The 26,771-nt window shown below is 40.3% G+C and overlaps 1 protein-coding gene across 16 annotated transcripts in view; it reads right to left on the bottom strand.

The window, feature by feature from the left end:
- SORCS1 (sortilin related VPS10 domain containing receptor 1) overlaps positions 1-26,771 on the bottom strand; it is a 607,476-nt gene that overhangs the window by 414,895 nt on the left and 165,810 nt on the right. Inside the window, exon 1 of one of the 16 annotated variants that reach the window (XM_017015616.2) lies at positions 14,089-14,361. The exons of the other annotated variants lie outside the window; for them this stretch is intronic. Coding sequence (XP_016871105.1) covers positions 14,089-14,130 — 42 coding nt within the window. The 5' untranslated portion in view covers positions 14,131-14,361. Of the gene's footprint in view, positions 1-14,088; positions 14,362-26,771 lie in introns of those variants that run through there. 16 annotated transcript variants of the gene reach the window in all.

Below are 26,771 nucleotides of genomic sequence, written 5' to 3' on the forward strand. Positions count from 1 at the left end.
AATTCTGCAAGAAGGTCACCTTTTAAGGCTAATGTGGGACAGCTCCTAGAAATCTTTTGACTGCCTTTCCAGAATTATACACTCGCAGGATGCCTGGGAATTGGCAGAGTAGGAAAAATGCATTAATATTTAACACTCATATAGCACTATAAATGGTTGCAATGCTCTACAATAAATAAAAAATCAGGTCTCAAAATGTGACTTTTTAACACAATTGTAACACTGAAATATTTTCAGAATTTGTAATAAACTCCCAGGGGAAAAAGCCAGAAGTCCCATCACTTAAAACTATAGTATACTAAGCAAAGTGGTAGAGAATATTCTATAAAATAGAATCTTGTACTGATGAGACAAGGATCAAACGTCCCTAGGAGGGGCTTTTTTCCTCTAATGTAAATGGTGTTAGAATACTGCAAGTGCCTCCCAGGCACGGTGGCTCACACCCGTAATCCCAGCACTTTGAGAGGCTGAGGCAGGCAGATCACAAGGTCAGGAGTTTGAGACCAGCTTGACCAACATAGTGCAACCCTGCCTCTACTAAAAATACAAAAAAAAAAAAAAAATTAGCTGGTCGTGGTGGTGGGTACCTGTAATCTCAGCTACTCAGGAGGCTGAGGCAGGAAAATCGCTTGAACCCAGGAGGCAGAGAATGAGGTGAGCTGAGACTGCATCACCACACTCCAGCCTGGGTGTCAGTGAAAGGCTCCACCTCAGAAAAAAAAAAAAAAAAAAAAAAAAAAGAATACTCCAATGCCTTTCCTAAAATTTCCTTCGAGGCTGTCTATCTCCCTTGGTAGTACCTTGATTCTGCCAGGTCCACTAACAGCAGTAAACTTGATGTATGGGAACTTAACTCTCACTCCTTTTCTCTACTAGCCATCTTCAAGCATGATCTGTTCCTTGTTTCCATTCAGCAGGGCACTTTTGACACTTTAAGGTCCACTCACAATGTAGTTTTCCCAGCAGTCTTTCTACTTTCTAATCCTCATCCTCTCCCCCTTCTTGCATAGGGCTTTCTGGTTGCAGCAACAGGCACTGTGTCCCTTCATTTATATACATTTATATAAACCATTCCAAAGCAGAACTTCTCTTTATATACTCATATTTTTTCTGTTTTTTTTTGTTTTTTTTTTTTTTTTTTTTTTCTGAGATGGAGTCTCACTCTGTCGCCCAGGCTGGAGTGCAGTGGCGCGATCTCGGTTCACTGCAAGCTCCACCTCCCAGCTTCATGCCATTCTCCCACCTCAGCCTCCCGAGTGGCTGGGACTACAGGCGCCCGCCACCACGCCTGGCTAATTTTTTGTATTTTTAGTACAGACGGGGTTTAACCATGTTAGCCAGGATGGTCTCAATCTCATGACCTCGAGATCCACCTGCCTCGGCCTCCCACAGTACTGGAATTACAGGCATGAGCCACCACACCCGGCCTACCCATGTTTTCTTAATTCAGCCTGATTCATGTTGCTGTTAATGTTAAAGGTCATTTATTGAACAGGTGCAAAGAAGGGCCACCTTGGAAACATTTCTTTTGCAATGAAAATACCTCTGGAGTAGTATAGGGCTTTCCTTTTTAGATTACCTGCTCAGAAACAAGTAGCAAGAGGAGACTGTTACTCTCCTAACATATCTCATCCAGTCAAGCTCTGACTAAAGCAAACATTTGCCCTATTCTAAAAACAAGGCCTTCTAACAGATTTGGAAGTCTACTGCTATTTCAAATTTTTCTTTTTTTGAGATGGAGTTGCTCTGTTGCCCAGGTTGGAGTGCAGTGACGTGATCTTGGCTCACTGCAACCTTCACCTCCTGGGTTCAAGTGATTCTCCTGCCTCAGCCTCCTGAGTACCTGGGATTACAGGTGTGAGGCACCACACCTGGCTATTTTTTGTATTTTTAGTAGAGATGGGTTTTCACCATGTTGGCCAGGCTGGTCTCGAACTCCTGACCTCAAGTGATCTGCCTGCCTCAGCCTCCCAAAGTGCTGGGATTACAGGCATGAGCCACCACACCCAGCCAACTTTTTCTTTCTTCAGAACGAATGCTGGTCCTTTTGTCATGACGTGTGATAGTACAAATCACAAGGGCAAATGGGGACCAAACGTTTGTAATTAAGAATGACAGGACTTAAGGAGATCGGAGAAAATGTAGACCTTCACATCTCCCATTTTCCATTTCTACCTGCATCGCATTTACTTAGTTAATGCATAAGGTCTACTTCTGAAAAATTGTGAGTACACTGTTAAAATTAAACAGACAAAAACCACCAATTAAAATAAAATCTCATTAAAAGAGGTTGTAACTTAAGAAAATGTATAAATACTTCTTTTATTTGAGGCACACTACTCTTTTGCAAAATGAATGATTTTAAATTTGTGATTTCACAGTTATAATGCAGCTAAAATAATCTTGCTTAAAGGAACCTTCATGCCTAGCCATTGGTTACTGGAGGTCAGTTCTTCCACATCATGTTGAAAAGAAAGCTGCCACTTTTTCACCTGTTCAGTATTCCATGATACTAACTAATCTGACTTATGCTTATGTTCACCCATTTGTCAAATACCAGGTACAGCATAGAACTTTATGTTCCATTGCCTTCGACTTACATTTTATATTTGACACGGAAGGCCCTCGGGATACAGGAGAGCTTTCCATCCACACCAGTGCCTATTCAGCACGTGTTCTAGCAGCCAGAGTGTTATTTCAGCTTTCATGTTTTCTGGTTGCAGAAGTCAAATGGCTCAGTAATTCTCCCCACAGTGACATGTTTGACAAGCTGGATAGGAAGATGACACCCACATCCTGGCCTTTCTATTCCTCAAATAAATGAAACTAAAACATAAAACAATGAGAGCACTTCTAGTTGGATTTAACTGGTGAGCTGGCCTGAGATGTTTGAAAGCCCACAGATCTCAATTATAGTGGGCAATTCTTACTTGAAAACTGATTTTCTCTGAACAGATCTTCTCCATGTGAGTCCTCTACTTATGCCTGTCAGCTTCACTGACAAAAGTAGTTATGCCTTTTGAAACAGAGTCAACAGAACCAAGAATGGGTAAATCCATGATTTTTGGCTTTGAATATCACTAATAATTATCTGTTTTTGATTAAAAAATTATTACTCCTGGAGCAGAGCTGGATTTTAACTCCCCGGTACATTACAAAAATCACTAGAAGGGGGAAAGGGAAAAGAATAGGGAGAAAGACAGTAAAGAGAAAAAGACAGACAAGGAAAGAGGAGAGACAAGAAGAGGGAGGATGAAGTTGAGGTTGTATAAAGTCATTTTTGCATTTTCCTTTTGCAGCTTCCTTTTACAACTATGTAAACGTCTCATTAATTTCTACATTTAGAATCTGATTCTGAGCGTAAAAGTAAATTACTCTTTTGGATCTTTTTTATCTCCACTTCCACCAGTGACAGATCTGAAAAAGACGAAATATTTTATGCAATTAAACTTTGCATGTTATAATGTGACTCGTTGTGAATATTGCCTCAAAAACTTAAGAGTGAAGAGAGATATAGAAAATAAAAAGGTGAAGACTGAGCAATCAACACAGGATCACAATGGACAGGCTGTTGGATGCTTGTTTGTATTTACTTCTCGGTACACACCTCTCTCAAGCACTGTTCGTCATGAGCTTAAAAGCACAGGCATGGTGGACAAAGGAGCCCCTGACTTCCGTATATTCGTCCCAATATTCACAGTGCTCAGACTTCCTCTCCTAGTCATGAGAATGAGGAAGTGGAGTGGTCTTCTGGATAAGCTCAAGCCAGGAAAAGAGAGGCTGGTTTTGGACTTAAAAGCAATAGATCATGACAGAGTAAAAAAATACCATACATTTACTAACATTTTTTCCAAGATGGAAAACCTATAGGTAGTTCCTAATGATCTATATTGCAGACCCCCTTTTTCTAGTCCACTCTAAAATCCAACTAATTCTTTTTCTTTTCTTTTAGGAGATGGAGTCTTGCTCTGTTGCCCAAGGTACTGGAGTGCAGTGGCACAATCACAGCTCACTGCAGCCTCGAATTTCTGGGCTCCAGTGCTCCTCCCACCTCAGCTTCCCTAGTAGCTGAGACTATAGGTGTACACCATCACACCTGGCTAATTAAAAAAAAAAAGTTGTAGAGATGGGATCTTGCTATGATGCCCAGGTTGGTCTGGAACTCTTGACCTCAAGCAATCCTCCATCTTAGCTTCTCAGAGTGCTGGCATTACAGGCATGCACCACTACACCAGGCCGAGCTAATTTCTTTCTTCCTTTCTTTCTTTCTTTTTTTTTTTTTTTTTTTTTTTTGAGACAGAGTCTTGCTGTGTCACCAGGCTGGAGCACAGTGGCGCGATCTAGGCTCACTGCAACCTCTGCCTCCCTGGTTCAAGCAACTCTCCCGCCTCAGCCTCCCTAGTAGCTGGGATTACAGGCATGCACCACCACGTCCAGCTAATTTTTGTATTTTTAGTAGAGACGGGGTTTCACCATGTTGGCCAGGATGGTCTCTATCTCCTGACCTCGTGATCTGCCGGCCTCGGCCTCCCAAAGTGCTGGGATTACAGGCATGAGCCACCACGCCCAGCCGGGCCTGGCTAATTTCTTACAGGGCTTTCATGTCAGGTTTAGATACTGTATCTCGAGTCAACATTCTAAGCAACTCTTTAGATGCCCAAGTAGGGCTGGAAACCCTACCCATACATGTCTTTTCAGGAAATCTTTGTGCATGGGCTCTGACAGTAGACTCCTCACTTGTTTGTGACATCAGCTTTACACAAAGCTGCACTGGTGGTTTTTATTACATCTCAGTGCAAACTATATTCACACTTGAATATCACTCTCAAAGCATCCCTGCTACTTTTTATCAGTCCCATTTTACAGGTGAGAAAATTGAGTAGCAAAGAGATACATGACTTAACTATCAAGGACACAAAGGACATGATAGAGGCTGAACTCTGAATTAGAATTTTTGACTTCCAGAAGAGTATGCAGGAATTTCTTTTAAAAACTTATTTTCTTAAAGCTAAAAACTAGATAGTATTTTATTCATTCTGTAACAAGTATTAGCTCAAATCAGGTACAGTATCATGCCCCAGTGTTCACAGTTGAAACTGTCAACACTTTGTTTGAATGTATACATGAGGGAAAAAAAATATTCTTTTAAAAGTTGAAAAGCAACAAAGTAAATTTTATTTTTCCAAGGATGTAACATAAAGAAGGGAAATTTTCATATATAGAAGGGAAAATGAGGCCAGGTGCCGTAGTTCATGCCTGTAATCCCTACACTTTGGGAGGCTGAGGTGGGCAGATTGATTGACTCAGGAGTTTGAGACCGGCCTGGGCAACATGGTGAAACCCCATCTCTACCAAAAGTACCAAAAATTAGCCAGGCAATGCGGCCCATGCCTGTAGCCTCAGTTACTCGGGAGGATCGCTTGAGCCTGGAAGGTGGAGACTGCAGTGAGCCAAGGTTGTGCCACTGCAGCACTCCAGCCTGGGTGACAGAGCAAGACCCCATCTCAAAAAAAAAAAAAAAAAAAAAAAAGAAAATGAGAAGCAAACAAATTCATAATTCATGGTCTTAGTAAAAACAATAAACCCACTTTGCTATTAATACAAGCCCATTAAAACTAATTAAATCTAGTCCCAAGGACTTTCAGGAAACCTGCATGATACTGAAATTCTCTTACCTACAAAATTGATTTTTGGGGGGTCAGCTCTTTATGTAAAATGACTACAGCACGACAAAAATCTGTCTGGAATATGCTGAATGTCTTAAAAATTAGGAGTCAAAGAAAGTAATATAATCAGGTATCTGTTTGTCTACCAGTATATGTTACTATTCAGTATGTAATTCAGTGCTAAGTAATCCGGGAATTAAAAAAATAGGATTATACCATAGAAGTATCAAATAAGGATGGCATAGACACAAATATAGCAATTGACCCATATTTAAGCCAACAGACAGTTTGGAAAAGGACTCTGAAACCATTTTGTTCTTGAAAATGCTATCAATTTAAATGGCAATTTTGATTTTAGCAGTTGATTAAAACTATTTCAGACAGAAGTATATGCCACTGAGCTGTTTCTGCCCTGAAGTAAAAGTAATGGTTCAGATTCAATTTAAATTTTGCTGGCAAACGTGCTATTTAGCATTACTTGAATGTGAAAATACTGGTGAAGGTTTAACAACTCAGGATATAACATTCTGAAATGGTGCTGAATATTTTTGAAGAGAAGGAGAAGATGAAGAGGCAATAACTCATTGAGAGCAAACTGGCTTAAGAGTTGACATTTCCTAGAGGCAGGCACCAAAATGTATTTTGCCCTTCCACCGTTTCTGCATAGAAAGCAAAGTGAATCTATCCGTTTCCTCATAAAAGTTAAATGGAAACCTTGTCAACAGAATGACTATTAGTAATAACTGAACGTCGGAAAATAAAACATACAGGAGAGTGGATATTAGCAGTTAAAAAGTAAGAACAGCCGGCCAGGCATGGTGGCTCACGCCTGTAATCCCAGCACTTTGGGAGGCCGAGGCAGGTGGATCACGAGGTCAGGAGATCGAGACCATCCTGGCTAACATGGTGAAACCCCGCCTCTACTAAAAAAATACAAAAAATTAGCTGGGCGTGGTGGCGGGCGCCTGTAGTCCCAGCTACTCGGGAGGCTGAGGCAGGAGAATGGCGTGAACCTGGGAGGCAGAGCTAGCAGTGAGCCGAGATCGCACCACCGCACTCCAGCCTGGGAGACAGAGCGAGACTCCATCTCAAAAAAAAAAAAAAAGTAAGAACAGGGTAACAGAGAATAGAAGAACAGCCTTAGAAATGAGTTTGAATAAAAAGGTACTACATCTGTCTGGATGGGCAGGAAAAGTAACGGGATTTGTTCAGCAGGTTGTATTGTTTTGTTTTTTTCTGCTATGCTCTGGCATGGATTATCAAAGTGAAGCTACCCACAGGTTATCCTACAAGTTGGGAAGGTATGGGGAAAAAAACGTCCTGCGTGGCTGTGGAATTTTGCCTTCACTTCACTGGGTGAGATACATGTTCATAAAAGTTATCCGAAGTGTTGCTTTTCTAATGCATCAAATTGCTCTTTTCTTCCTAAGTTAGGGCTACATGGGAAGTTGAGCACTGACATTGCTCAAAAAATATTCGTCATGGTAGAAACAGTAAGCAATTGCAGCAGCAGTGGTAGTGACAGTAGCAGCAACAATAATAATACAATGCTAAGTGATAATTTAAAAAAAAACAAAATCATGATTTTCATACAGGCATAAAAAGGATTTGGGTCAAAGATTTTATTTTACTTATAACAAGGGAACCTGGCAAATGTTGTGACCAGTCAAAGGAGAAGTTCAAAAAGCACCACTTTTTACAGATTAAAAGAATGTAGAAATGAGGCCAGGTGCGGTGGCTCACACCTGTAATCGCAGCACTTTGGGAGGCCGAAGCGGGTAGATCAGGACCACCCTGTGATCATGTTCAAGTTCAAGACCAGCCTGGCCAAGACGGTGAAATCCTGTCTCTACTAAAAATACAAAAATTAGCCAGGCATGGTGGCCTGTAATCCTAGCTACTGGAAAGGCTGAGGCAGAGAACTGCTTGAACTGGGGAGGCTGCAGTAAGCCAAGACTGCGCCACTGTACTCCAGCCTGGGCGACAGAGCGAGACTCCATCTAAAAAAAAAAAAAAAAAAAAAAAATAGAATGTAGAAATGAAATGTACAAATGCAGGCAAAACTACCTGGGGTCAGGGGAGTCAACTGAGCCTCTATACAAGGGAACAGAATTTACTTGTCTATAGCTAAAAATTATTTTGCACTGCTATCATTCATCTACAATTTAAATAATTATAAAATAGCTTTCATAGAATCAGATAACTACCAGAAGGGTATGCTACAGACAAAATGCATATTTTTCTGCTGAGGCACATTTTTCTCCCTATACCAGTGAATTATTTGAGCTCAACCTTGGCCCCTAGGATCCTTAGAAATCAGTTATAACCACACATGAAAGTCAAATGCACAAGTTCTCTCAGACATTATCCTGACCACCACTTGCCTTTCGTCGTACCAAAAAAATCAGAAGCATATTGTTTTCAGCCCTACAATTTTCCCATTTGCAAATGAGGCATCCCAATGATATCACAGCAGGCAAGAAAAGTGCTGATCATTCTGGATGATATGACCAGAGTGTGTCGCCTGCATAATGTGATTAGTGCTGGTACTCTTTGGGAAGATGAGACAGCCCAATTTGTAAGAGACTTAAACTCAATGTTTCCAATACTCAGGAAACCTTGCTTAGTGCCTATCTTGCAGTTATAAAGTAATATCCATGTTTTTTTTTCTAAAAATGAAAGGAAATATGTCTAAAATCACAAGAGAAACATATGGGACTCAATTTCCATTGCTATTTTTTTCTTGGATTTTCTCTTCATTTAGGGAAAAGGAAAGAGGTAGGAGGACTGCATAACATTCTCTTTAACATCCTTTTTTTTTTTCTTTATAAAGCTGCACCAGATTAGCCTGGTCCTTTAAGCCCTTACATATAGCGCTGCCATTCCAAGGCAGGTACCACATTAAATTATTCTCTGATATTCTTTCTCCTGGTAATTTTAACTCCCCTGAAGGCAAGAACCATCCATTACTTACCTTTAGACTCAGCACCTTGTCTGGCCCACAGTGGGTGTCTTATAAATAGTTGGTGAACTCCGCCTGTCCCCTGAGCCACACTCTGTGTGCCTGCCCTCACCTCTGTGTCCCTGACTGTCACTGCCTCTGAACTTACAACTCATTTTCCCATGCTTGCAGCTTTGATATGCTCCTGACACTTCACTGCTGCCACAGATTCTCTTATTTTGACCAAATGCTTTTCTCTTTGACAACATCTGGACTATACTAAATTACTTATGCTGCTACAGAACAATTCTCCCCAACTCAGCCCCCAGTAAAACACTGCCCCAATTCATCTCATCTCTAAGCATGTTACACTCATCCACATAGAAGCCATGTTGCAAGTCATCTGAAGGAAAACTATAAACAAGACCAGACAGAGTTTCCTTTACTTAGGAAACCTTTCAAAGTAGCATCAGAAATGAGAGAAATATATACTCCTCTACTAATGGCTTTCCTAAAATGTTTATATAGACACTGTGGTTTCAAGGGTAAGAGTATAACCTGGCCATTTTGCAGAAAAACAACAACAACAAAAGACAGTAAATAAATTCAAAACCATGCTTCTCCTTGGTGAACCACTTCTCTCCAACACACTAAGTAGCATTCTTTCTCCACTGTCTCCCAAGCTCCTTCTCCACCACCTCCCAGTAACCGCCCTCTCAAATGGCCACTTCCCCTAGTGGGAGGTGCATGGGTAGGGAGAGGAAAGAGGAAGGACTTTGCATTCGTGACCATATATTCTGGTTACTTCCCAGATTCAGCAGATTTGTTCACTGTCTGCTTCTAATTAAGGAGAAGACCTCACTTAAATGCAACAGACGAGCAGCCTTGCAAATAGAAGAAGAGAAGCTTAATGTGCAAAGCCTCCTTGTGCGAATGTCAGGCCCCATAATTTCATAAACATATTCTAATACATACATTCACATGTTTATATCCGCTGCTTTTACATAATTCGTTGGCCTCTTATTTAAAAGTGCCTGAGCTAAGGGTAGTGTGTAACTATTCATGCAAAATAATAGCTACAAGAATAAGCTCGGCTTCTGAAAGCTCATGCCTTTGCAGTGTCAAAATAACAGCACTCATACAGCTGGCTTGATTACCTGAACTACTAGGGTCATTCACGATGGCCTTTCTTGTCATGAGGACTCCCAACCTCTGGCTTCTTTCATTTTTTTGATGTTCAATTAAGAAACACATTTTGTTTTTGCAAGGAGACCTAGGTAGGGGTGGGATAATGGAGCAAATGGCACAATTTCATCTCACACTCCTTTTATTCTTAAAGGTGCACTTTAACATGACAACCAGTCTTAAACTATTTTAAAGGCTGACAACTTGACCTGGAACAAAAATAAGCTGTATTAGATACTTTCAGATATACAGTTAATGCGAAACCACTATTATCTTTTTTACATTAAGAGAAGGGCAGAATGCCATCCCCTTTCATTTCTCCAGTAAATCAAACTGAATTATTCATTAGCACGAAATGTTTCCAATCCACCCCCTACCACATACACACACCAATACCTCATTTTAAAAAACTGGTGGTTATATCTCCTCTAAAAATAACCTCTCTGATACACTGAGCTCCAAAAGTTTAGGACTTTGCAAAGATTAATTTCTGTGGTTAGTAAAGCTAACAGTCTCTAGAGTAGAATCAGACTGCAAAGACAAGAAATGAGCAATTAAGAAGTATGTCCTTGTATTATTTTTCAGTTCTCCCATTTGTTGCTGACTACAGAAGTTTGGCGCTGAATAATTCTTGGAATCTGAGGTTGGTCAGAGGTGACTCTAAGTAAATTCTTCAGGAATAAGTAGTAAGAAAACTTCTAAAGTACCACATTTTGCCAAATGAAGACAGGTCCTAAAATGCCTTCCAAGAGCCTGCATTAAAATATAGATTTACGTAATTCAGGTTTAATGGAAAAAAACAGGTAATGCCCAGCACTTCTAACAACTAAAAACATACACACACGAACATACACACACATAAACTGGCAAATATGGACACACACACCACTGCCACCACCAAACATACATACACACACACAGATGCACACACACAAATAGGCAAACATCATTTGTCTTCTCTAAGATCAGATCTCTGGGCACTGAAGTCTGTATTTCACATGGAATCTCATTTTCCATCTTCTACTCTGACAGTTTTGCATCTGCTGTGTCCTGTTTCATTAACAGGAGCTCATCAGAGCCACATCAAAAAGTGAAGATGCATGGTTGCTATTACCATTTATAGCACCATTTGTTTCATTTAAGAAAACGTGCTTAGTCCCTGGCCTTAAATTACACAGAAGAAACAGGATTCTGGAGTTCAGGGTACACATTTTTTCTCTCATCTCTTCACTTTGTCAGAGGAGAAATCACTTTGAGTTGACTTACAAGACAAACTGTTTCCATTTGCACCAGCAGAAGCTTGGCTCTGGCAAACAATAATTTAGCTTCAGGGACTTCTGAGCCATTCTAGTTTCCAAATCAGGCACTAGCCTCCAGATTATACCTCCTTAATTCAGGTTTTACAAATTCAGCCAGGGGCTGGGCTCAAATTTACTTCCTCATGATGAAAACGGGATTTCTGAAGTGTAACAGGATAAGGGGAAATTTTATTATCTTAATAACTGATACCAGAATTCTTCTTAAGAGTAACATTGGATTTGGTTGAAAATATACCTGGATCATGGTTTGTTGTTTGGAAAAAAAAATCTCAGCAGATGTCAGCTGGGCCAGGCATCACAGGAGGGAAAGTTTGGGGTTTCTAGGGGCAAGCCAGAAAGAATCAGGTGAGGAGGGAAGCAGAGAAGTGGGAGAAGGGGAGAACTCACCTATGATAGGGCAGAAAACTGTACTCCCAGTGACACCACATCACCCTCTCCCCATCAGCAATTAAGTCCGCAGAATTAACAATGATTTGAAATAAATAATTTTTTAAAATGTTGTTACTGTAAAAAACAGAGAGAAGTTTGTACCTTCTGTGTGCAATGCACACCCAGCAGTTGATGTCAAAGTGGTCCTGAGAACATGCTCCCATCTTTCCCCCCAAAACCGGCTGAAATGTTGGGAAGATTTTTAGGTATGAGTCCATTTGGCTGGGCACAATGGCTCATGCCTGTAATCCCAGCACTTTGGGACGCCGAGGCGTGTGCATCATGAGGTCAGGAGATCGAGATCATCCTGGCCAGCATGGTGAAACCCCGTCTCTACTAAAATACAAAAAAAAAAAAAAATTATCTGGGCGTGGTGGCACGCGCCTGTAGTCCCAGCTACTCAGGAGGCTGAGGCAGGGGAATCGCTTGAACCTGGGAGGTGGAGGTTGCAGTGAGCTGAGATCGTGCCAATGCACTCCAGCCTGGCGACAGAGCAGGACTCCATCTCAAAAAAAAAAAAAAAAAGTCAATTTTACCTCAAACCTGAATTTCTGTATGCTTCAAGCTAATACCTGGCTTACACAAAATGGAGGTTTCAATTAGTTTTTACAGGCAAGAAGATTGAACAAATAAATACAAGATAATAAGTGATATTCATATATCTAAGATACTCTTCAACATATGGGCTCAAATAAATATAATATGAGGCCAAGTATGAAGTGTGAGACTAGGGGTGAGGGGAAGGGGCAATGCCAGTTTAGGGAAGGGTAGGAAAGGAAGATATCAGTGACTATTTTGAGAGAACACTAGAAGATGGATGTTATTTGTAGAAGCAAAAATAGTGGGAGATTTAATAGAGATCATGTAAAGAATTTTTTTGTATAAATTTCTTGACATCTTGCCACTTTGGGTTGAAGGATAATAAAAATGTTTTCCTAATGACTACCAGGCTAGTCTCTGGAGTGACTAGCCCAAGTCTTGAACAGAGGAGCTCCTTAATGTTAAATTGAATCCCAAAATGAAGCTCAGCATAAAAATAGGCAGAGAGGCAGGAAGGGGCAGAGTGTAGACAAGGCATTTTTAAACGTGTAGTTTGCCTGGAATTTAAGATGTGTGACAGGGATTGTTGTAAAGGGAATATGGTTATGTTGGGCTGGTGCCAGATGTAAAGGTCTCTAAAATGAAATGTCATTACCTCTTTAGGCAGTGGGGAGTGCAATGGGAGGACTCTTGGCCAGGGAAATGTAGGATGAGGCACGTTTCAGACCAATTACTCCAACATCGTATACAGAACAGAGGGGGGTCAAGTTTGCTGGTGAAGAAGCCTGGTAGAAGGCTTTTTAGTAATCTACTTATAAGCAAAGACATGGGGGTTCAATCTGGGATAGGAGTAATAGGAAGGAAGGAAGTAGGACATTGTAAGAGATAGAAATAAACGATTTAGCAACCTCCGTCTCCCGGGTTCAAGCGATTCTCCTGCCTCAGCCTCCCATGTAGTTGGGATTACAGGCACGTGCCACCACACCCAGCTAATTTTTATATTTTTAGCAGAGACAGGGTTTCATCATGTTGGCCAGGCTGGTCTGGAAATCGTGCCCTCAGGTGATCTGCCTGCCTCAACCTCCTAAAGTGCTGGTATTACAGGGGTAAGCCACTGCACCCAGCTGAAATAAACTGTTTATAAGCAGGTATTTGCTTCAAGTCAGCTTAACAGCTATTTATTAAGCATCTTCTATGTTCTCCGGCAAAGGCAGTTAAACCTGGCTCTAAAAGGATTCACACCAATCTGTTATTATTGGTTATATGTGAGATTTGAATTGAAAGAGAAGGAATTTATTAACTTTTCTTTCTTCATATATTTTCCTTTCCTTTGGGTTCTTACAGTAGTAATGTGTCACAATTATGATTCTGAAGGAAAAAATATCCAAGAATACATAAATCTTAAAAAATGTGTTACACAGCAAATGAACACAGCGAAGACCACTGAATTTGTATGCCAAGGACAAGAACGGCCCTGAGCAAATTAAAAATCATCCTATCTCATTATTAAAGCAGGCCCAGGAGCATCACCACAAAAGGTGTTAAGCTATTACTTTGTGGTTTTGAATATAGCCCTAAGTAATAAAGCCATGATTCAATTTAAAATGTTACATTTTTCATGCTTCTCATTAAGCCAAACTAATATCTCTCTCAATAATTCTGAATTAGTAAGGTCAGACCGTATTGGAACTAAAAATAATTATGGAATGAGTGAATCTTCCCAGTCTCCTTTAATTACTGTGTCAGACCAGGAGCCTGGGAAAGCTCCTACCTGAGACTAATTTAGGAAGCTTTGAGAAACAGCCACTCTTTTGGGCCATTAGATGCCTTGTCTCTCTCACTGTGAGCAACTGTCTCCAGCCCACATAGCACATAATGAAGCAAAAACTATAGCTAATGAGTTCTCATTTCTATAGCTCCCAAAACCTGGGAGAATGTAAGAACACATAGCATAGCTTTCCTGAATATGCTATATTACATGAATTGTATGTTTGCTGGAATTGCATACCTGCAAACTAAGATAATTGTGCCTAGAAAATCCAGGCTGCATTCCACACAGAGAATGTCGTATGTGTCCACCAAGAGGCAACCGGTAGGTTCCATGATTGTCTCTTCATAATGGAACAAGTCTGATTTTAAAACCTAGAGGAAATAACAAGGGTTATTTTTAAACACAGATGTAAAAGTGCCAGATGCCTTTTGTCCTACTAATTGCTGACATGCATCATTCAAGGTGGGAGTTGTTACTGAGATTCCATTAGGGGACTGACAGTCTTACAGAAATCAGCTTTGGTTTGTATCACTGGGCCCACTCATTACTATAAAAAGTTGTTCTAGGCCGAGTGTGGTGGCTCACACCTGTAATCCTAGCACTTTGGGAGGCCAAGGCAGGTGGATCACCTGCGGTCAGGAGGTCGAGACCAGCCTGGCCAACATGGTGAAACCTGTCTCTACTAAAAGTACAAAAATTAGCCAGGCATGGTGGTGGGTGCCTGTAATCCCCGCTACTTGGGAGGCTGTGGCAGGAGAATCGCCTGAACCTGGGAGGTAGAGGTTACAGTGAGCTGAGATCACACCACTGCACTCCAGCCTGGGCCACAGAGTGAGACTCCATCTCAAAAAGGAAAAAAAAAAGTTGTTCTACAATAGGTACTTAGCAGCATAAGTAATATATTTGCAGCTCATATCAGCATCCTTCCAATGGGGTAGCAATATAAGAATATTTTGTATATTTATGTATAGCCAAAGTATGCATGTGTTGTGTGTATAGAGAGAATAATAAATTCCCATAAGTGTGTGTGTGTGTGTGTGTGTGTGTGTGTGTGTGTGTGTGTGTAGTAATCCACAGACTCACTTCCTCTTAGCTATCTCATACAACAAGAATATTAATCTTTTAAATAAGGGCCTAAGGCAGAATATTGGATCTAATGCATTCTTAGTGTCTATTTCAGATCTAAAAATCTAGCCATAAAAATGCACCATCATGTCATCATGTTGTACTGTAATCCTTAGGGTAATGACATTATCTGCAGTGTCGGTCTAATTCTGGATGGAGTCTCTGGCCTTGTGAAGGAGGCTGCCTGAGATGAAGGCATCTCACAGAGAAGATCCTACCTCTGGCTCAGGACTAGTGTGCCTCTTGTTACATAATTAACATGGCCCTGAATAGTTGGGAAGAAGGAAGGGGGCAGGGAATAACAGAAACTCATGATTCAAAAGCAATCCACAACAAATCCCTTTTTAAAGCAGAGAATACGGCTGGGTGCGGTGGCTCATGCCTGTAATCCCAGCACTTTGGGAGGCCGAGGAGGGTGGATCACAAGGTCAGGAGATCGAGATCATCCTGGCTAACACGGTGAAACCCCGTCTCTACTAAAAATACAAAAAATTAGCCAGGCGTGGTGGCTGGTGCCTGTAGTCCCAGCTAGTTTGGAAGGCTGAGGCAGGAGAATGGCGTGAACCCGGGAGGCGGAGCTGGCACTGAGCCGAGATTGCGCCACTGCACTCCAGCCTGGGCGACAGAGTGTGATCCCATCTCAAAAAAAAAAAAAAAAAAAAAAAAGCAGAGAATACTACTGGCATTGTATGTAATAACTCCTGATATCCAAGTTTGTATTCCTAAACAGGTCTCTACAATCATTTTTCAGTTCCCTTCTTTGGTAATTCCTGTATTAGTCTGTTATCACACTGCTAATGAAGACATACCCAAGACTGGGTAACTTATAAAGAAAAAGTGGTCAGTGGACTCACAGTTCCACATGGTGGAGGAGGCCTAGCAATCATGGTGGAGAGAAAAAGAAGAGCAAAAGGATGTCTTCCATGGGAGCAGGCAAGAGAGGTTGTGCAGGGGAACTCCCATTTATAAAACCACAAGATCTCGAGACTTATTCATACTGTTCTCATCAGAACAGTATGGAGGAAATGACCCCCATGAGTCAATCATCTCCACTTGACCCCACCTTTGACTTGTGGGGATTATTACAATTCAAGGTGAGATTTGGGTGGGGACACAGCCAAACCATATCATTTCCTGATTAAACCTCGTGATTTACCAGAAGTGGCTACTCTTCTGGGAAGCCCTCCTTACAATACTCTTCTATAGGTCCATACTTTGGGCTGCAGGCTGGCATCATTAAAAATATAAAACTTTTCATCTGCACTCTAGTCGAGGCATTTTTAAAGGACAAAATTATAAATTCCCATAAATATGCTGGTATGTGTGTGTGGGTGGGTGGGCCTGTGCGTGTATGTGACAGTGAATTTCTAAAGAAAGCCAAAGCAGTGACCCTACAAAACAAAAGCAGCAAGTCATCCAGCCCTGATTAAACTTTCTCCAGTTGCCTGCCAATATGGAAAGATATTTTAATGTAAACCACTGAAAAACAATATGCCTATATAGAGTAAGAGCCCCGGGGTGGTCACAGCTAAGAAAATTCCAGCTACAGCAATCAACTCTAAGGAAATAATTGAGATATGGTCAAAGATCTCCGCATAAGGGAATCCCATCACGGCATTATTTATAATAGAAAATGAAAAGCCAAGAGAGGCTTGGTTGCTCGCACCTATAATCCCAGCACTTTGGGAGGCTGGGGTGAGAGATCACTTGAGCCCAAGAGTTTGAAGCTGCAGTGAGCTATGATTGTGCCACTGTATTCCAGGCTGGGTGAGACAGAACGAGACTTTGTCTCTTTCGGGGGCGGGGGGTAGGGATGGGGGTGGAGAAAAAGCTGAACACTATGTAAACTTTAAAAACTAGAGATTGTTCTAAATACAGAAATTTTAAATGTGGAATCATATAGATATGAGAAATTATGGTTTTTTTTGAAAACTTTCACAAATAAAGGCTGAAGATAAAATTTTAACTGAAAGACAGGAATTTTTTAAAAACTGCACAAGCATTATGTTCTAAAAGTTGTATTCCCTTTTTTCCATATGAATACCTACATATTATGTACACTTTATAATAAATGTTAACATAATTATCTCTTGGTAAAATTCTGCACAATTTATTTTCCTTTTTTGTACTTTTCTGTACCCTATGTATTTTCCACAATAAGATTATTTTACTGTTGTAATCATGGGGAAATTTTATTTAATGAGGTGGGACCATACAATATTTTAAAATGACAAAAATAGGCATATGATTCTCACATATTTTGTGATATTAAAATTATATGAAGATTTCAGTCCCATTTTTATTCGTTTGTTGACACCTAACTATAACTATCCAAATGAGAACCTATAATTATTTGGAATCAATAAATATTTCAATTTCTATACCACCATGATAGAAAATTATATCAATTGCCCATTCTTGATTTTGTGGTAATTTGTTGAGGACTGAGGTGTGTCATCTTTAGGCTGTATTTTGACCCACCTCCCCTTCATATTTCCCTACATTGTCCAATTTAATACATATCACAGCACAGCAGCTTTATTTCTTTATGCCTCTCCTATTAGATTTTGAGTTATTTGAAGACTGAACTCTCATTTATGTACTCAATACATACTTATTGACACCTTAATATACCATAAACCCTATTCTAGGTCCTCCTGGTAGAACAATGCAGCAGGAGAGAGGGAGGCATGGATGACAAAAAGCTCTTAACCTATATCCTTGTGTCTGTATCCCAGCTAGCCCTGTGCTTAGCACCTGACAGGTACTAGAAAAGCAGCTGTTCAATGAAAGAAACAAGGAAGACAGGGAGGAAAAACAGGTGTATTAAATCAGAGCAACAAGAGAATAAATAGATGGCACAGGGAAACACTATTTAATATAAGTAATGAACAGGTGAAAGAACCCCAGAAGGGTAATAAGTAGTAAGTCAGAACTGTTTCTTTCTGGAAGGCAAAAGAAATTGGACTTTCAAAGAAGAGAACATGAAAATAGTAACTTTCCACCGGGCATGGTGGCTCACGCCTGTAATCCCAGCACTTTGGGAGGCCGAGGCGGGCAGATCACGAGGTCAGGAGATCGAGACCATCCTGGCTAACACGGTGAAACCCCATCTCTACTAAAAATACAAAAAATTAGCCGGATGTGGTGGCGGGCGCCTGTAGTCCCAGCTACTCAGGAGGCTGAGGCAGGAGAACGGCGTGAACCTGGGAGGCGGAGCTTGCAGTGAGCCGAGATTGTGCCACTGCATTCCAGCCTGGGTGACAGAGCGAGACTCCGTCTCAAAAAAAAGAAAATAGTTACTTTCATAGTACCTCCCACAGAACTGCAGATTCTTCTATTATTCTCATTCCTTTTAAATTTATATTTTCATTTTTCAATGATTATAAACAAATTTACATACTCAAATGCGCTTATAGCAAATCTTAACATTCCAGAGACGAAGTGTTAATTTTTTCTAGGTTAAGTCATTTCCCTTGTATCTCCATGTCCCGACTAGACCTACGCTTAGCATCTAGTTTGTTCTCAATTTTGTAGTAATTAGTTTTTGTGTTAACCTTGGTCTAAAACTTCCCCTGCAATCCCTGTGTAATCATTTGAAATGTCTTCAAAAGGTTCATTGACTATGAAAGTGGTAACTGTGTGTGGTGATTAAAGACAGTCACACATTCTTTGGCCTCCTCCCAAGGCAGAGAGGGGGTCTTTGTCTTGTCCCTTTTAACTGGTGCAGGATCTTGTTTTGACAATAGACCACAGTAGGAGTGACACTGTGCCATTTTCCAGATGAGGCATTAACAAACTGTTAGCTTCCACTTCTGTCTTTTGGAACACTCTGCCTTAAAACCGAGCTGCCATGCTGTGAGGAAGCCCAAGGAACCCTTTGGAGAGACCCTAATGGAGTGGAAAGATGTCCCCTGGCTGAGTTTCCAGGCAACAGCCAGTACCATCTTACCAGTCATGTGGGTAAGCCATCTTGAAAACAGATCCTCCAGCCCCCGCTGAGCCTCTCTAGTTCACGCCTCATACAACTGCCACTGGCAAGTCCTGCCCAAAGTGAAGATTCATGACCAAAATAAAGATATGTTGGAGTTTTAGCCATAAAGTTTTAGGGTAGTTGGTAACACAGAAATAGGTAAGTAGAACATTCTGGATGAATCTTTAGAAAACATTATAAAAACTCAGACCTGTGTTTGTCCTTCACACATGAGCCTTCTAGTAGAGAATACACTAACTACACTTCAGCACCTCTAGGCCACATCCCATTGAATACCATGCGAGGCTCAGGCCCAATTACGCTTACTTGATAGCTGTGCAATAACAAACGAACATACAACATATTCTTCACTTGTTCTTGGCCAAAAGGCCAGGAGGTGATGAATATACAACATACTCTTGTAGAATTTCAGTGCTGATCTAAATTTCAGCTCCTCCCATGATAATATTATAAAGTGCTTTGTATGTTGTCTAAAGATTTATTTATTTGTCTATTGTAGGTTAATTATTCACATTAGAAATGGAGTATTAGTTTAATAAATTCTTTTTTAAAAAAGACTGTGATAGCATCAATTAGATTCAAAATGAGAGGGCAGTTTTTTCTATACTAACATCATACGATTCTTCATCTAGTGCCAGTGACAACTTCAATAGTACATAAAATAGTAGAGTTGCCAGTATTTTTCATAAAGCCACTCAAAAAGACAGTACAATTTCATTGGTTTCCATTTTTAAGGTGATAGAAGTCCAAACCCTCAATGTAATTTATGCAGTACAATTATGCAAAGCAGTGTTCAAGCCAAGTCACAAGGTCATTTTTATATAAAACACAAATATACATTCTAAATTTTCTCTGGGACAACTAAACATGTAAATGTTATTTAAAAGAGCGTGCAAAGATAATTCAAATACCTTGATTAAAATGCAGTTGTAGCATTTAAGATAAATGGCTTCATCACATGAAAGATGTTCCCACAACAGACAAAAAGTTAATGCCTCTAATATTGTCATTGAAATAAGTAGATTGATGAATAGGTTGTGTTAAACGGTACAATTAGAAACAATATTTGATAATGTATTTCAGAGATGGAGCTAAGAAAGTACATTCTGCATACTGGATAAATTTGCTTAAGTCTGGGTTATATGAGACCATCAGAATTCAACAGCACTCAAAAATGGTTATTATATGGGCCGGGTGCGGTGGCTCATGCCTGTAATCCTAGCACTTTGGGAGGCCGAGGCGGGTGGATCACGAGGTCAAGAGATCGAGATCATCCTGGCCAACATGGTGAAACCCCGTCTCTACTAAAAATACAAAAAATTAGCTGGGCATGGTGGCGGGTGCCTGTCGTCCCAGTTGCTCGGGCTGCTCAGGCAGGGGAATCACTTGAATCCGAGAGGTGGAGGCTGCAGTGAGCCAAGATTGCGCCACTGCACTCCAGCCTGGTGACAGAGCGAGACTCCGTCTCAAAACAAAACTAAACAAAACAAATGGTTATTATAACTCTCTATTTTGTTTGCTTTGGTAAGTTCTGGTCATACAGAGATACCAGGAAGATTTGTTATTTGGTTAAATTATTCCACGTCGATGCAAAAAAAATTCTGAAGGGTCTGAATTAGTTTTTCAAATACATGATCAAGTATGGCAAAAATGCAGTGACATCTGCATATAGACGTTGAAAAAGCAACAACAGGAAAAACTGTAAAATGTTGTGACCCTTATAAAAGCTATTCCCCAGATATTATCAGGCTGTTTTTGTGTGTTGCATGGAGTAGCACCATTTTCAATTACAGTTGCTTAGACAATACAATATATACTGTTCACAAATCACAGACATTTTAGAATTATTTGGGCAGAGAGTTCCAGATTTTTATTTTTTAACTGAAGTGTTCAGCTCTTCTGATCAACACGAAGGGCAAGTATGAATGTTTAAATTGAGAAGAGAAATCACTACTTTTCTGTTTCTCCTTAAAATAGAATATAGTTTTTAGTAGCAAAATAAGCATAACACAGGACACAATGTTATTGAGTTTAGGACTATGGATAAAATATCTGGAATGACATTCAAAGTTAAGTTTGTACTCAACATATAAAGCAAATAAATTCTTCTGTTTCATGTAGTTGCTGGGACAGGCACCAAAATACGCAAGATTTAAAAACATATATATAATTGAAAATATCACAATCTCATAATATGCACAAAAGTATTTTCTGACGAAAATGTTAGACTTACTAAGAAACCTGTTTTTTGACTTCCTTTAAATTGCTCTTTCACCTATTGAGAGATGCAAATAATTATTATCAGAGCGACAAAGAATAGGTGCATAGGGAGACAATACGTAATATAAGTAATGAAGTAAAAGAAACCCAGGAGGGTCACAAGTCAGAACTCAGAAGTGTATCTGGTACCGATTCAGTATGGAAAGAAGACTAGTAGAAAAACTGAAGTATATCTTAAGATTGAAATTTGAACTGTTGAAAAACTTATGATGTGGAACTATGTATGGAAGCCAGTATAGTCTCAGTTCTGAAAAAAGAATCTAATCACTGCATCAAACGTATTTCTAAAATTAGTAACAGTCATCCACAACACCTGTTTTCAAATGTTTGTTCATCAATATAACTTCAATATTTGAAGCCATGGAGTTTGTAAGCACATGAACTTATACATTTGTTAAATGAAATGCTGTTTTAATACTTTCTAAAGGATGGAGTAGGGGAGATTTCACAAAAGATTTCATTTATAAAATTGGTTCCCTGCTAAATAAGTTTGAAAACCCACTGGGCCAGAAAATTTTTCAAACAGTCGCTCTGCAGGACAGAATATGAAAGAAAATCCCAGCCATGCTTAATCATGCTCCACTGAGTTGAGGCCTAGTTACTTGCTCACAAGGCATAACTTTATTTTTTTTGTTTCCGTAGTTTCTCTGAATGAGTTCTTCCATTTTATGGAAAAGAAAATGCCATTCAGTTAAACATCCTGCATCGGTGAACATCCATCACTCAGTTCATCTCCCCTGCAGATGTGTTTCTCCACCGCTTTGTGACGTCAAGCTGCATCAGGCGTTTGCCTTATCCACAAAGCACAAAACTTGGACCATCAGCCCAACTCAGGAAAGTTAATAGGAGCTGATTGAACAACTGAGCTAACCGTGGGGCCTGTGGGTCATTTTGAGAGGCCTCAGATCTCTGAATAAGTTGGCGGTCCCCTTCCTTTTGTAAGACCGAGTTCATAAGCAGCTTCCAATGGAGATAACAGGCAATCGCAGTGTCTATTGGCAGAGGTGTCCTGCATGGCTTCTTTTCCGCTATAGTGAATGTGTCTTGCAGATAATTTCAGTTTCTCTCACAGAGCTTTCAAACCAGATATCACCCCACTGAGACAGGAACACAGTGATTTTTTCACATGCTCCACCAGAAAATGCATAAGTCAACTGAACCACATGGAGCCAAGCCTTGTGATTCTTCAACATGCTGTAAGATCTGCCTAGACGGATGAAGGCAATTCCCACACACTGGGATGAGCAGGAGGACAGGAACCTCAGAAGGAAAGAAAATAATAATAATTCTGCCCTAATCACCAAGTAATGCTGACAGGTGACTGATAAATAGCAGCTTCCTTTATGGACCTCTTAACTTTTTGGCTGTGGACAAAATAAAGCCCTCTTTCTTGGGTCTGTTTTAGACCCACTCTCCCTTTCACAGAGCATTATCCACAGCATTGAAAACTTGTCAGTTCGTATTCCTTAAACCACTTTTCACTTCTTATGCCAATGCCGCCTCCTATGGGGGAATAATTGAAAGTCTGCAATGGAATGTAGTGATTAAACTCATCAAGAGCAGATGATAAGAAACACGACCTTCCACATAAAAGGGAGAAAAGCATGTTTGTCTCCAGACAAATTCATGCAAACCTCAAACAATTGCTCTCCTTCTCTTGTAAATGCTGTGTCTTTGCTTCTGCCCTGCAAGCTACCCAATGATCACTCCATTAGATGCTACATGGACTCTTGTTCAATCATTAACAGCCACAAGGTTTACTTCACAGCTATCCACAACTCCTTGCAGAATTCCAATGCTCCAAAGAACTGGACAAGTTACCTCTTGCAAAACTGGAGACCAATGAGATGCCTAGAGATTTGTCAGATAATACAAGAGAACAGACAGAATGTTTCACCTTCTCCTTACAATTCTCCTACTTATTTTTAACCTCCCCAAACACCAAAAGCCATTTGCTGTATATGGGGGTTCTCTATCCCCAGGCTGTTTTACTGTATGCCATGGAGATCCTAAGTAAAGAACCAGCTAATTTGCCATACCTGGAATATTCTGGGTTATAAAACACTAGATCACAAGGTTGTCTATTTAAATATTGATATATCACAATTTTATATTTGTAAGGACTGGTGAAATAAGGAGATCTTTATTTCTAAAAGAAAAGAAAAGCCCACAAGTATGTTTACTGTTTTATCATTTTTTTAGTAATTTTTAACATCAGAAGCAGTTCCTCGAAGATAACATGTTCAAATGTGCCCAGACAACAGGTAGAATCAACTGTTATTGCAGCAGATTTTTTTTCGTGAGTTCCTCCAAGACCTTGTCTAAGACTGAAACAGGGACATTTTTGCTTAGTTGCAATTTCACGCTTTCCTTCCATTTTCCAAGTTGTGGTTTAGCCTCAAGGAATAGCCTTGGGTATCAATCCAGTCTCATCCCTCACACCCTCTTCCCATCTTTATGGCTAGACATTTGAGATATGTCAGCAGAGGTTTGCAGAACTGCAGTGTAGTATAACAATTAAAAGCCAAAGTGCTGGAGTTGAACAGGCTTGAGGAAAAAAAATTCACACAGGGATGCTCACAGCTCATAGGATTTTTGGTGGGAATAATGGACATGATACATAAGTGTTTGATAATAAATAATAATAGCTAGTATTCATTTAGCTTTTATTATGCTAGCACTTTTTATATATTAACTTTTATTTTCACCATAGCTATGAGAAAGATATCATCATCCTCATTTTACAGGTGAAGATTGAGACATGAAGAGGTTAAGGAACCTGCACAGAGAGGTGAAGTTACTTGTCCAGTGTCATAGAACTAGCTCATGGAACAATCAGAATTGGAACTAAGGTAATCTGCCTCTAGTGTCCACATGTTCCACCACTACTTTGTAAACAGAACCTGGTACAGAAGGACTGTTAACTCACTGTGACCCTTTTCCTCCATCACTTTCTTAATCCTATAGTTCCCCACAGATACCATGGGATTTATCATCTTTATACTTTTATTTATAACATTGTGCATGTTTTGGCTAGCTCCTCTCTTTCCCCATTTCCTTAACTCTTACCAAATATGAAGGATGCATCCTAAGCTATGAACTCCACTAAGATGTCTGCACCTGTCTCTTCCAGGTTGAGTTGCTTGTTTCTCTTCTACACCTCCTTAATGCCACTTCATGTCTTGGCCTCCTATTATCTGTCAATGTGTCCAATTTTCTCCCTTGGTGGAGTTCCTTAAGGTCGAGGAAACAGCATTCAATTCCATATCCCTAGGGGCTTGTAGAGTACCTGGTACACAGTTGGTAGCTAATTAATGTTGAATAAATAAACAAATAGAAAGTCTGAACACTGCCCCTTGGCTTTTGGCAGGCTCCCTTCACAAAACTAAAATTCACCTGCCTTAAGTATGTTTGGAAGAGGTAGGGCAAGGGATCAAGCTACTAGGAAAAGTTGGGTAATGTGGGTCACATTTAACCGAGTCCAGGTTTCACTGAAATTCAGCAAGAAACCTTGCAGAAGTTAAAATAAATGGCGTGGAAAGGTTTCAGATCTAGCCAGGAACTCCACTGAGCACTGAGATGGAACCTGACACCAAGCAGAAGGTAATCAGATCTGGGTTAACCTGGAGTCACACACAGATAGCCAGCAGGAGACTCACTTTTTCTTTGAGTAGGCTAATAAGAGACCATTGTCCATTGTATTTTATTTCATTGCTGTTCTCTCCCTTCCTGCAGTATCAGTAGGATTAACATCAATAATGGGGCTGTCTTTGTATTTACACATTGTAATTAAGCCTAGATGAAACCTAAAGAGCTCTTTAGGGATATTTATTAGCATCCAGAACCACCTCAGCTTGTAGGCTACCTTTGGCCAGTGGTTGGAAGACAGAATTAAATAAAACATCCACTGTGCAATGACACCATAAATTCCCTCCAGGACTCCTCCTGCCAGCGTGTCTGACCTCCTCATGCTACAAGGATACAGAACCAGGTTGTTGAAGATTTTGTTTCTAACAAGCTTATCATGGTTTAAAAGGTCTGTAAAAATGAGTCACCCAAGTGACTCTTGACTCTAGTTCCTGCTAATTTAGAATCTCTAGATTGCCACAGAGAAGGCCCACCCAGTTATTTCTGGCTACCCTTGGAGGGGGCTTAAAAAGAGAGAAAAGGCCGGGCACAGTGGCTCATGCCTGTAATCCCAGGACTCGAGGCTGAGGCAGGCAGATCACAAGGACAAGAGATCGAGATCATCCTGGCCAACATGGTGAAACCCCGTCTCTACTAAAAATACAAAATTAGCTGGGTGTGGTGGCGCATGCCTGTAGTCCCAGCTACTTGGGTGGCTGAGGCAGGAGAATTGCTTGAACCTGGGAGGCAGAGGTTGCGGTGAGCCAAGATCATGCCACTGCATTCCAGCCTGGACCAGACAGAGGGAGACCCTGCGTCAAAAAAAAAAAAAAAAAAAGAAAAGAAAAAAAGAGAGAGAGAGAGAGAGAGAAAGAAACAAAATAGGGGAGAAGGAAGAAAACATCTTCCAGCTTTTTTTCTGGCCTTTGCTTAGTGTTGCAGGGCATCAGCCCTCTTGTGGGGGCCACTGTCCATTTTTGTGGATACTTTAGAGCTGTTAAAATGTTTCAAGGTGTCAAAAGTTTGCAAAGTTTTCTATGGCAAAATGAGAAACTAGGAATTGCCAAAATGCTTCTTTCCTCCTTTAGGTCACAGCCAAAATGGAACCGAATTCCCTTGCTTTCTGTTATGTTATAGCAGCAGTTCTCAAAGTGCGGCCCCTGGACCTACAGCATCTGCATAACCTGGGAATCTGTTAGAAATGCAAATTGTCTGGTCCAATACCAAAATTTAAAAATGCTGGAGGTGGAACCCAGCAGTCTGTGTTTTAAAAAGCCCTCCAAATAACTCTGATGGACATTCACGTTTGAAGATATTTTACAGAATTTCTAGAGAAAAAAAGTTTTACTTTTTTAAATTTACCTTTTCACCACATAAACTTATTGCATACAATTTGATGAGTTTGAATATGTACATATTCTTAAACCACATTCTTTTCTCCCTCTAAGGATGCTGATATGAATTCCTAAAGGAAGGAATAGCCAATTGTGGTTGGAATATGGTCAGGATCACCCTTCCCTTGCAACTACTAAGAGAATATATTACTGAATCAATATCCCATGCTTAGGGTCAGGATGAATTCTTTGCAAGGAGGCTCCTCAGACCCTTGTGAACACTGACTTCTCTAGGGCAGCTACAACCTTTCACCAGAGTATACCCTATATCTAAATCACCGGTAGAAACAGATTACGCTTAACCCTATGATTCCATGAAGGAAATCATTCATTCAACGCATTCTACAAATATGTGTTGAGCACCTACTGTATACATAGTACTGTTCTTCCCTTGGGATATGTTAGCCAACAAAGCCAAGACCTCTGCTGTTGTGGAGAGATAGAAAATAGATGGGCCTTACTCAGTAAGTACATTGTATGGTATGTCAGAAGGTGACTTG

Source organism: Homo sapiens, chromosome 10 (assembly GCF_000001405.40).
Source record: "Homo sapiens chromosome 10, GRCh38.p14 Primary Assembly".
Lineage (NCBI taxonomy): Eukaryota > Metazoa > Chordata > Mammalia > Primates > Hominidae > Homo > Homo sapiens.